At 38.8% G+C, this 12,344-nt stretch overlaps 1 protein-coding gene across 3 annotated transcripts in view; it reads right to left on the bottom strand.

The window, feature by feature from the left end:
• CFAP58 (cilia and flagella associated protein 58) overlaps window positions 1–12,344 on the bottom strand; it is a 116,583-nt gene that overhangs the window by 84,934 nt on the left and 19,305 nt on the right. For all 3 annotated transcript variants that reach the window (NM_001400226.1, NM_001400227.1, NM_001008723.2), the window contains 5 exons: window positions 11,547–11,828; window positions 7,998–8,146; window positions 5,280–5,436; window positions 4,161–4,355; window positions 1,609–1,746 (listed from right to left, as the gene is read on the bottom strand). In NM_001400226.1, coding sequence (NP_001387155.1) covers window positions 1,609–1,746; window positions 4,161–4,355; window positions 5,280–5,436; window positions 7,998–8,146; window positions 11,547–11,783 — 876 coding nt within the window. In that variant the 5' untranslated portion in view covers window positions 11,784–11,828. The remainder of the gene's footprint in view (window positions 1–1,608; window positions 1,747–4,160; window positions 4,356–5,279; window positions 5,437–7,997; window positions 8,147–11,546; window positions 11,829–12,344) is intronic.

The raw sequence follows: 12,344 nt of genomic DNA, 5'->3' as shown, positions 1-12,344 counted from the left end.
TGATCTCTCTCAGATGGTTATTAACATATATAAAATATTCAAACACTCTTTTGGACTCACTGGGCCATTGTAGGTCAATTATATACACTAGAGAAGGGGTCCTCCTTCCTCAAAGTATGTTGGTCTCTAGGTATACATATGGATAAGTGGACCAGATATTTCATAGTATGAATAGGCAGTCTATAAAATGGCAAACAGTCCCCAAAAATAATCCTAGCAAAGAAAAGCACCCGATTTTTGTCTAAAGACTTCAAGCTTTCCAGATTTTGGAAATTTTAATTAAATTCACTTTTTTAAAATTTTGCCATTAGAAGTGACTGGAAAAGCAGCTGGGATTCTTTTGCGAACAAAGGTTAGCAATTATCTCAGCTCATAACAATGAAGAGACCAAAATTAGCTGTTCATGTTATCCTCAGATTATTGCTAGAGGCTGAATCCCATTAGGCTCATGATCTGATAACAGAAATAGTCCATCTTTCAAAATGCCCCATTCATATTATCAAGGGAAAGAATTAATGGCATGAGTCTTTTTCCTTTAATTTTACCTTAGGGGCTAATACATTATTTTGACTTAAGTAGTCATCTCATCTCTTCTTTAACTTATTGCATTCTCATAAAGAATGGTTTCAAGTCTACCCATTCTGGGCTGTTTTAAAAGTTTTTCAGCGTCAGACCCTCAGACCCTATAGGGTTCAAATTAGTCGATGTTAAGGCCTCTCCATTTCTAAGATGTTTTAATTCAGTGGTTATTAATCCAGACCCCACAGTTAGACTTCAGAAAAATCCTGGAAACCTCTCCTATTTCTGGGATGCATGCAACACAAGATGTAAGATATGCAAATAAGTGTGTGCATGTGTATATTACCATCAGATTCTCAAAAGAGTTTGTGATATAAAAATGTTATGGTTCTCTGCCCAAATCTATGTATTATTCTTGCTAGGCCACTCTTTTTACATCCAGTATTCTAACATAACCAGAGTAGGGAATATGGATTTTTTTCAGAATTAAAGTGATAAACGTAAAGCTGCTCTGTTAAGCAGGTAGGCATACAATATACATCGGAGTATAAACTGTTATCTAAACTATCTAAATTGAAGAATTTGCAAGCACTCTTCAATGAGAGCAAGGAGAAGAATAGGAAATCTGTCTCAAAATATACATTGGACAGAAGTGAAAATCATGATTCCACAATCCTGTAAGTAGACCCTAGGTAGTATCAGTCTCTCTCCCAGCCATTCCATCCCACCTTCTCCAACAAGCAGTAACTATAATCTGAATTTTTTGCTGTTCACACGTGTGAATGGATTGCTAGATTTGAGCAACTGGTTTCTTGCAAAGCTAGTTACAGAGATAGACATCTGAGCTCACTTTGGAAACCATTTGCATAACCATATGATCAATAATCAGGTTTGCAATTTTACAAGAATGGAAGTCATCAAACTCTGCTTCTGGGCCTAAAGCAATCACTATAGGCTTGCACCTGCCTCTGATGTGTCAATGTACTCAGTAGAGCCAACACAGGCTCTCCAACTGAGGGCTCCAATTGCCAAGGCAAACCTGTGTTAGGAAGAAAGAGCTAGGGAACAGACATGTAACTTGGTGTTTACTTTGAGCTCCAACGCCTTCTGTTGGTTTTCCTGGGATAGCTGCTCACAGACCAAACTGTGCTGTTCATTCTCTTGCTGAAGTTTAGCATTTCTCATCTGAAATTGCTCGAGTTCCTTTGCAGCTCTCTCATTCAATATCTGAAAGGGATGGAATGAGCTGGTTAATGCTTTTTAATCTGATTACAATAGTTGGATATACACACAGGGGGCCCCACAAACCTCCTGGGAAGATAACAGCAACCCTGAGTTTTTGTCTTTGTAGAAATTGTTCTTTATTCCCGATGAAAGCACTAACGCACTCAAATATGATGAATGTTAAACGGTTGAGGAAAATGATGCCTTCTAATGAATAACACAGTGAGCATAATTTTTTTTCTGAGAGCCTTGGGAAGTCTTGTTCACAGGTGGTGGATAAATATTTTAATGCCTGTTTGCCATTTGGCAGGCTTCGCATATGCAACAATTGCTATAATCATTGCAAATGAGCTAGAGATTCAAACGGATTTTATAAGCTGTGGGGCTCGGAAGCTACATCTTCAGAAGCAAATCCTGCATTAACATGCCTACAACATTTTTGTCAACAGAACTGTTCACTAACACCAACACAGAGACAATTTTCTTTTAATCTAACTTAAGTCGAAACCGTGGAACAGCAGCAAAGTGATTTATATCTGCTTGAGTGCAGTGTCAGCCAGATTTTCCTCTTCCCTGCCTTGACTATCCTAAGCAGATATGGTTTTATAAAAACAAAGGATTATATCTTGGGGGCTCATTTCTATTGGGGGAATATTGAGGAGGTGGAGGGATAGCAAATGAATTGCAGGATAAAAATAGAAAGCCAGTTTAGGTAATGTCTCCAAAATATAACTTCCATGCACACAAAAATTAAGCATGAAAAGAATCCAGCTAATTCTCCATCAATAGGGACTAAATAAAATGTAACCAGTTATGCTAAAAATGAAATTGTGTTTCATAGGAGAATAGTTTTTATCCTGATGTCCAAAAGCCTCTCTTATGTTTCATGCTCAAAGAAGTCTCATGTTTTTCTGCTGGAGGCGGCACACTGTGAATTATCTATTTGACTTCTGACTTTATACAAAATTAATAGAGCAACGGACAAAAAAAAAGTATATTTATATCTATTTTTGAGTATAAAACTGCTATATGGCTTGACAATTCTTTGGAAACAAGCTTCCTGAGGAAAAACATATTTAAGAAAAGACTTTTCAATTATATGAATTGCTTCTTTAAGAAATGAGAGAAAACATAATACAATTACTAATACTTGTGTCACCCTAAACTGCTATAATAGAGGAAGTGTTAAAAACAGTACCATATTAAAAATACATAAAGACTGACCCTAGTTTGCTAAACTTGAAAATAACTTAAAAATAAACCTGTCGGCTGGGTGCGGTGGCTCATGCCTGTAATCCTAGCACCCTGGGAGGCCAAGACAGTTGGATTACTTGAGGTCAGGAGCTCGAGACCAGCCTGGCCAACATGGTGACACCCTGTCTCTACTAAAAATATAAAAATTAGCCAGGCATGGTGGCAGACTCCAGTTACTCGGGAGACTGAGGCAGGAGAATCGCTTCAACCCAGGAGGTGGAGGTTGCAGTGAGCTGAGATCATGCCACTGTGCTCCAGCCTGGGTGACAGAGAGACTCCATCTCAAAAAAAATAAAAATAAAAATAAAAATAAATAAATAAAAATAAAACTGTTAAAAATAAATTGTTATACTCACCCAGTGGAATACTGCACAGCAATGAGAGCTCATGCTCTACTGAGCTCTGTCCAATAGAGCTTTCTGCAGTGATGTAAATGTTCTCTGTCTGTGCTAATATGGCATCAACTAGCCATCTGTGGCTACTGAGTACTTGAAATGATGCTGGTACAACCAAGGAAATGAATTTTTAATTTAATTTCATTTTAATAAAGTTGAATTTAAATAGCCACTTGTTGCTAAGGGTTACCATATTGGGCATCACAAGTCTATAACTACATGGCAACAACATGAATATATCTCACAAACAGAATATAGCAGAAGTTAGACACAAAGAATATATCCTGTAATATTTTATTTCTGTAAAGTATAAAGACAGGCGAAACCAAACTCTGCTTAGAATTCAGGATAGAGATGGTATTTTAGGGGGAGAAGGACTAAGAGGGAGCACAAAAGGGCTTCTGGGGGTGCTGGTAATGTTCTGTTTCTCTGGCTGGGAGCAGGTGACCAAGATGCGGTTGAGTGGTGAAAATTCATCAAGCTGTCCACTTGTGACATATACACTTGTCTATATGTGTAGTATAGATCAATAGAAGGTTAAAAAGAAACTTATTAACCTGTTAGAGCTGGGAAATTTAAAAGGGGGGGCATAACTACCTCATAAGAGCCATTCAAAGACCAAATTGCAGTGCTAAGTTTTACATCATCAGCACGAGTAGTGAAGGGAATTTGCTGCTTTCCAAGAGAATTCAAAATGCACAAAAGGGTGAATAAAGGTGCCATTCTGGGTTTTTCTTGGTTTTTTGCGAAGACCCACACCCAACTCACCTTCTGCTCCTTCAGCTGCTGCTCCAGCTTCTGAAGCTCCTCCTTGCTCTTCTGCACATACTGCTGCAGGGCTTTTATTTCTGTCTGCCTGCTGTCCATGTCTGCCTGAATCTGCTTGAGCTCTTTCTCTAGTTTTTCCTTCTTCCGGAACTCCCGGGAAGCTTCGTTCTGACGTTGCTGGATTTCTTGTTGGAACTAGAGGTTGCGGAAAGGACAAGAGAGAAAGAGATGAGCCCTGACCATGGCAGGTCTCAGCCAGCCAAGCCCCCTCCTCTCTCAGGTCTGTGATTGTCAAGGCAGCACTTTGCAGTAGCATTTCCCCTATAGGGCAGACATCCTTGAGCCCCAGTGTTCAAACTTTTCAGGAATATTCTATACTGTTTCTTGGGGCCTTGAAATCAAATGACTACCCTGATGGTGGGCAACAAATCCACAAAGTGTGGTATAAAATCAAATACATATGGAAGCTCAGAGTTCTAGGGGCGTTAAACATGGAAAGAATTCATCCCGTTCTTTATCAATAGGGACTAAATAAAATGTGGCTAGCTACCCTAAGTATAAAATTGTGTTTTACATGACCCTGGATATTGCTAAAGAGAGCATTATAGGTTTATCTTGATGTCCAAATGCTATGAAAAGCCTTTTTCTTATCTCATGTTCAAAGAAGTCTCATGTTTTTCTCTTGGAGACTGCACATTGTGTATGACCTATTTGACTTCTGGCTTTATGTAAAAGTGTTCAGAAGAAGTCTGCTAAATGGCTTTCTAATAAAAATAAATAAATAAATAAGTAGGGCCAAAGAAACTACTTCCACCACCCCCAGATGTTGGGCCCCCTGGCCTTCATGGAGATCATCTTTTTGAGCCAGAATTGTAAGTAGGGAGTGCCCGCCTCAGTGACTTCTCAGACAGAGAATGCAGAGAAAGAACAATTCAAGTCGTTCAAATCAAGTAAAGCTCCTCTCAAGAGAACAAACTAAAGAAACAAGCAGAACTGAGGATGTTTCATTTGGGCGCTAGGGGGTAAATTTGAGAAAGGAGCAAGATGGGAATAGAGACTGTGGAGGGACAAACATCCTCTGGAAGGAAATATTCCTTCTTCTTGCCCTCCATGGCAGACCTGACTGATGGCATGTTCAGCCTCCTCTTTTGATCGCTCTGTTTCCTGCTGCTGTTCAGTGGTCTGAGCTAGGGATTCTCGTAATTTTACCACTTCTGATAAGAGCTGGTCTCTCTCCTTTGTCACTTCTTCTTTGAACCTCAGTAAATCTCGGATGCTAAAAAGGAAGAACACAGGAGTCAGACTAAATGGCCATCTGCTCAGGGGTCCTTCATATCATTCTCTGAGTTCATTTTCATGGGAAAGATGTCAGGTCAATGATTAACACTATTCAGACATTAAAGAGAAAGATCTTTATGCCATGATATGGGATCAGATTGTGAAATGTTAACTGGAAAGAAGTACTAATGATAACATGCATAGTATAATTTATTTTTTTATTTTTAAGAAAATACAATGTCTATTCATGCGTGTGAGAGTGTGTGTGTGTGTGTGTGTGTGTGTGTGTGTGTGTGTGTGTGTTTTACAGACATTTTTACAGAGCCCAGAAAAACATATCACTGATTATCTCTGAGAAATTTAGGGTGGAAAGTTGTGGGGGTTGATACTTTCCACACCTCTGTATTACTTGAATTTGTTATGATAAGACTATATTGCTATTGTCAACTCTGGTAATTAATCCTAAGCAGATGTCAATTTAGGAAACTATTTGTTTAATATATCCACTGGAGGGCTATGATCACAGCTATAAACTCTAGAATAAAGCATAAACAGAACAAAATAATATGCATTGCTAGTTTTCTATCAATTTACCCAAAAAGATTAGTTTCTCCCAAATGAATGCAGCCCAGATAAAATGTTACAAAGAACAAAATTGGGAAAATCATTCATGATGCCCATTTTTGGAGGTTATGTGATAATATTCATTGATTTGAATTGTAAACCAGTTACCTCCAAATTTCAAAAGCCATTCCATATGATTTGGCATGACTTCCTGCAGAATTAGCACTTTGCAATTGGAAGCTCAGTGTCTGATACGACCTCTGCAGCAGAATGAATGTAGAGCAAGGCAGCTCTTGGAGCTGAGAAGGCAGAGGAGAACTTGCACTGCAGACTCTTGCAGCTGACAGTCATCAAACGACTGCTCAAAACACAGTAATTTGTCAAACTATATTTACCAACACCTTTGATGTAACAAATGTTTAATAAGGAAACTTTAAACCTGCACTCAAATTCTACTCCAGAAATAAAACCTCAAATTCGAAGGTTACTATGAAGACAGAAAGTTACACCTGGGCACACTGTTAAAGATAAAATTATTGGCTGGATTGTTTCTTCCATTCTCCTCCTCACCCTCTTCCAATGCTTGTCTCGTATCTGAATCAGTTCCCTCGCATTCCTCTTCAGTAGTTGCTCTGAATATGCTTGACTTCCTTAACAAGAAGATAAAGCCCACACTACAGGCATCACATTTTCTGTTTTTATTTCCTATTCCCTCTCCCAACACCTGTACTTAGAACTATCTGTCAGTGTTGGATCAATGCATCAAAAAAGCGTAAGAAACTGAAACAGCAAAATTAGATTTGGTTAATTTCCTTGGCTGCCCAAGGAAGTGTATGTTCATTCCTGATTCATTCGTTGATGCCATGTTTTGCATGCCCCACACAGTGCTGGGCTCCTGGAGGGGATATAAAGGTGCCTTCCTTCAGGGAGTTCACAGCCTAATGGGTAGAGAAGCACATCAACAAATAAGTTTCAATATAATCTGATCAGTGCCATACTGGAGGTAAATGTTGGGTCTTATGGAAACAGAAAACATAGTGACTTTCTGTGTGGTCATTGGAGTCTGGATGTGGAGAGGATGTTGGAACAGTGATGCTGATGGTGATGAAGTTAAGACAGTGTTTGAGATGGGTCTTAAAGAAGGCATAAAAGTTGACCATGGGGAGAATGGAAGACAAGGCACTCTGAGCATGGAAAGCAACATGTACAAAGGCATGGAGGTGTGAGCAACTTGATGGGCTCGCACGAGGCTAGAGAGGCTGACTGGGGCAGGTTCTCAAAGGGCTCTGGATGACACAGTCAAGAGTCTGGGCTTTATCCTTTGGGTATGGGTAGCTATTGAAAGTGTTTATGCTGGGGATAGGTGCACATGTGCTTCAGGAGCCTAAATTTGGTAGCAATGATGGAATAAAGAAAGACATGTCTTCTGTAGGCAGGGAGACCAGTTAGGACGCTACTGCCAAATCTGGCAGAGAATAGGAGGCCTGAACCAAGGCAGTAGCACTGGTGACCAGAAGGAGTGAAAGGCCATGCTTAGAAGACCAAGCCAACAAGACAGTGGCTTTAAGAGATGGGGGAGCAGGAGGAGGGAAGAGCAGCACTGTTTTCTGGCCTAGAATCTGAAGGGTGGGAGGGTTGGTGATGAGACTGATCATGGGGAGTAGGTGGGAGAAGCTGGGACTCTGGGCAGAAAATTAGCCAGTTATATTCTACACAAATTGCAGAGAAACCTAACATCTTACTCATTTTGAAACTATACTACTGATTCCTATGGAGGCAGAAGTTTAAGATAACCACAAATTAGAAGTTCTTAGGTGTGGAGAAAAGAACATTACTTAAAATGCAACAGACAGAAAACAATCTCTAAGAACCCAATAAAGAAGAGTCTTGTATCACAGACAATGTTCAAGAAGACACTGGCAAGCCCCAGGCTGTCTACTGAAGGAGACCTCTGCAAAAGCAAGTTTAACATACATCAACAAGGCTATGACCTACTTGCTATGCTGGTCCATTGACAGTCCAGACCCCTGCTCCACTAGTTTGGTCAGGTTCACTATTTCCTCTTTCAGAGCAAGAATCGTCTCCTTGGCCTTCTGCTCTTTGTCATAGGCTGAGTCCACCATCTTCCAGGCCTTTTCAATTTCCTAGATGGGCCATAGGATATCAGTGAGAAAGACCAAACTGGATTCTAGATGCAAGATAAACCAGCAAACAGAATAATACCATGACCACAGTGTAGTTATATAAATGTGCATTGACTAAATTGTTTAACATGAGCTAGTCAATAGTGAATAGCACACTGAAAGAGGAGGACTGGACTGGACGTGGTGGTACAGGCCTATAGTCTCAGCTACTCGGGAGGCCGAGGCAAGAAGACCTCTTGAGTCCGGGAATTTGAGGCTGCAGTGAGCTGCAATCATGCCACTGCACTCTAGCCTGGATGACAGGGCAAGACCCTGTCTCAAAAAAGTAAAAAATAAAAATAAAGTAGGGACTGGCAGAGGGTATTTTTTCTTGTGTAGCTGAGTGTGGCTACAAGGCTCACTTACTGCAAGGTTTGCAAAATTACAAATGAAAGTTTATGTGCTTTCTAAGTCCAGATATTAAAAGGAAAAAAATAAGTTTTATCACATGAGAAATGATCATAGATCCAAGCCCTAAATTGATAGACTGAATTAAACCTCTCGAAAGATTTGTAAATAAAAAATATATTTTATCATCTGGTCCCAAGTGATCTCCTAGTGACAATGTGAACTTTAGAACAATCCACACAACGATGTTCTTTACTGTTACCTAATTGTACCCAACAACCTTGGTAATTCCCATTTTTCAGAAACTGAAGCCCAAGCCTTCTCATCAAATGCTTATATATGGGAGAAAACCCATAACGGGGAATGGAGGCAATGACCCATGCAGCTTTGGCTTCCTTACTGTTATAAAATGCAATGTGTATTTTGACATAAATACTTAAAAGTGAATTACAGCAGTTCCAGTAAAGGAGAAAAGCACAGTAAATTTTGCAACATGACATAATTTGGATGTATGTCCCTGCCCAAATCTCATATTGAAATGTAATCCCCAATGTTGGAGGTGGGGCCTGGTGGGAGGTGATTGAATCATGGGGGTGGATTTCTCATGAATGGTTTAGCACCATCCTCTTGGTACTGTCCTTGTGATAGTGAGTGAGTTCTCATGAGATCTGGTCATTTAAAAGTGTGTGATGCATGCATATGTTCATCACAGTGCTATTGACAATAGCAAAGACATGGAATCAACCCAAATGCTCATCAGTGATAGACTGGATAAAGAGTACATATAAACCATGAAATACTATGCAGCCATAAAAAAGTACAAGATCATGTCCTTTGCAAGGACATGGATGGAGCTAGAGTCCATTATCCTTAGCAAACTAACACAGGAAATGACAACCAAATACCACATGTTCTCACTTATAAATGGGAGCTAAATGATGAGAACACATGGACACATAGAGGGGAATAACACACACTGGGGCCTTTCGGAGGGTGAAGAGTAGGAGGAGGGAGAGGATAAGGAAACAATAACAAATGGATACTAGGCTTAATACCTGGTGATTAAATAATCTGTACAACAAACCCCCATGACACACGTTTACCTATGTAACATCCTGCACATGTACCCCTGCACTTAAAAGTTTTTTTTAAAAAGTGTGTGACACCTCCCCCCCGCCCCTCTTGCTCCTGCTCTGGCCCATGTGAAGTGTCTGCTCCACTTTGCCTTCTGCCATGACTGTAAGTTTCCTGAGGCCTCCCAAGAAGCTGAGCAGATGCCAGTGTTATGCTTCCTGGACAGCCTGCAGAACCATGAACCAATTAAGCCTCTTTTCTTTATAAATTACCCAGTCTCAGGTATTTCTTTAATGCAATGTGGTGACCAACTAATACACAACAGCTTTGAGTTTTAGGCCACTACTTAACTTTCTTGCAAAATTCTGTCGAGTAGAATGTGGGTCCTTTATACAGATAAGAACCTATAAGCTTTAGGTTAAAATATTCCACTTGTTTATTGACAAGGAATAAAATGGGTGGAAGAGAGTATTTAATGTAACAAATTCGTGGTCACTATTACATTAGACAGATTACTCTTGGGTAACTATAGCACATAATTCAGTGATTCAAAGCAAAATGTCAGTTTGTGCAATATTTCTTATGTAGCAACCATATGTGCTATATTTAGCAAAACAAATGAAAGATATTTACATTAAAAAATGATTACAGAAGTTTTATCCAAATCAACTTTACCAATTAGATTTTAATCCATTCATGACCTCCATTTCCAGATTTTGTTTTTTTGTTTGTTTTGGGTTTTTTGTTTTATTTTGTTTTGTTTTTGGAGACGGAGTCTTGCTCTGTTGCCAAGGCTGGAGTGCAGTGGCACAATCTTGGCTCACTGCAACCTCCACCTCCTGGTTCAAGTGATTCTCCTGCATCAGCCTCCCAAGTAGCTGGGATTACAGGCATATGCCACCACGCCCAGCTAATTTTTATATTTTTGGTAGAGACGGGGTTTCACCATGTTGGCCAGGCTGGTCTCCTGACCTCAGGTGATCCACCCACCTCGGCCTCCCAGAGTGCTGGGATTACAGGCATAAGCCACCACAACCGGCCCTTTATCAGTTTTTAAATTTACAATGAAAAATGTTTTTTTCCATTATAAAATGACTTTAAGCCTTCTTATATTGGTTTTTCAGTAAGGAGAAGAACATGACAATAAACTTCAAAATAGCACTTAAAAGTGAGTAGTTTCTAAGAGAATTGATAATCGTTATTTAGTACTGGTCTTGGAAATTCATTTGAACTGGATGGTATCTAATTGCATGATACCAAGGCAACTGTCTAAAAATTTTATAAATTGTTTCTCATATTTAGGGTTTTAATTATGTTTCAACCTCTTATCACCATGAGTCAACAAGGAACACTTATATTTTACCTTCAGAATAATGCAACACACTTAAGGATGAAAAAAATCTAGTGTAAAACAAAGCAATACATCCTCAGTATCCCCAGACTGAATCTCTGCTCTCCTATTATGAGGAACTGGGAGGATTCAGAGGAAAGAAAAGGGGTGCTAGGAAGAAAGGTCATGAAAATTACTATCTGGGAATTCTCAAGGCAATCTTTACTAAAACAGGAGAAAAAGCAGAAATATGAAAATATCTTTAACAGTTAAACTACCATCATGAGGTATTAAATTACTCATCATGCATCAAATAAGATATATTGAGATTCCAAATATTGCATTTACTTATCTCTAAATCTTTTTCCTAACCCATTATTTCCCAGAAACCAAACAAGTAAGATTCTCCATTATTTTCTGCATGATGTGATTCACCCAGGCTAAAAAATCATTTTCTTTGAAAATGAACATTATTCCTTAGGCTTAATGAATATAAAATCATGTAAATTTTTACCTAATAACTCATTTACTACCAGCCTAGAGGTGCCAATATAATGAGAGAATGATGTTTTAAATTCAGGTTCATTCCATTTCTAGAAGATCACTGACCTTCTTTAGGGATGCAATGGTGGTCTGATCATCCTGAGAGAGCTTAAGGGCAGTGGCGACCTTCGCAGAATTCACTACAATCTCTGCATTTAGCTCTCTGCATTTGGCCATCAGACGCTTTTCATTGTCATAAGACTTTTTCATGACAGCATGAAGCCTCTCATATTCAATCCGAAATTTTTCCAAACTTTTGTCTCCAGAAAGTTCATGGAGAACTCCCTGAAAATCTCTTTCCATTTCTTCAAATGCAGATTCTTCCAGGACTTGCTTTCCACCCTTTTCCTATAGAAAAAAAGCAGGGATGGGAAAGGGCAATGCAACATTTACATCATTACCATCAAGGAATTACTGCTATTACCTCTGAATGAAACACCTCCATATGAGCAAAATTAAAACCACTGATAAGCAGAAAAATTAAGATTATATGACAGGAAAGGTCCTTGTTCAGACCCTGATGCTTATGTACATATATAAGTACATATATATGTGTATATATAAGTACATATATATGTGTATATATGTACATATATATGTGTGTATATATATGTACATATGTGTATATATGTACATATATGTGTGTATATGTACATATGTATATATATGTACATATATGTGTATATATGTGTACATATATGTGTACATATGTACATATGTGTACATATATGTGTATATATGTGTACATATATGTGTGTATATGTGTACATATATGTGTGTATATGTGTACATATATGTTTATATATGTGTACATATATGTGTATATATGTGTATATATGTGTACATATGTGTACATATATGTGT

This window comes from Homo sapiens, chromosome 10, assembly GCF_000001405.40.
Source record: "Homo sapiens chromosome 10, GRCh38.p14 Primary Assembly".
In the NCBI taxonomy this organism is placed as follows: Eukaryota; Metazoa; Chordata; class Mammalia; order Primates; family Hominidae; genus Homo; species Homo sapiens.
Note: the sequence above shows the minus strand (reverse complement) of the source record. Positions and strands in the feature narration are given on the sequence as shown.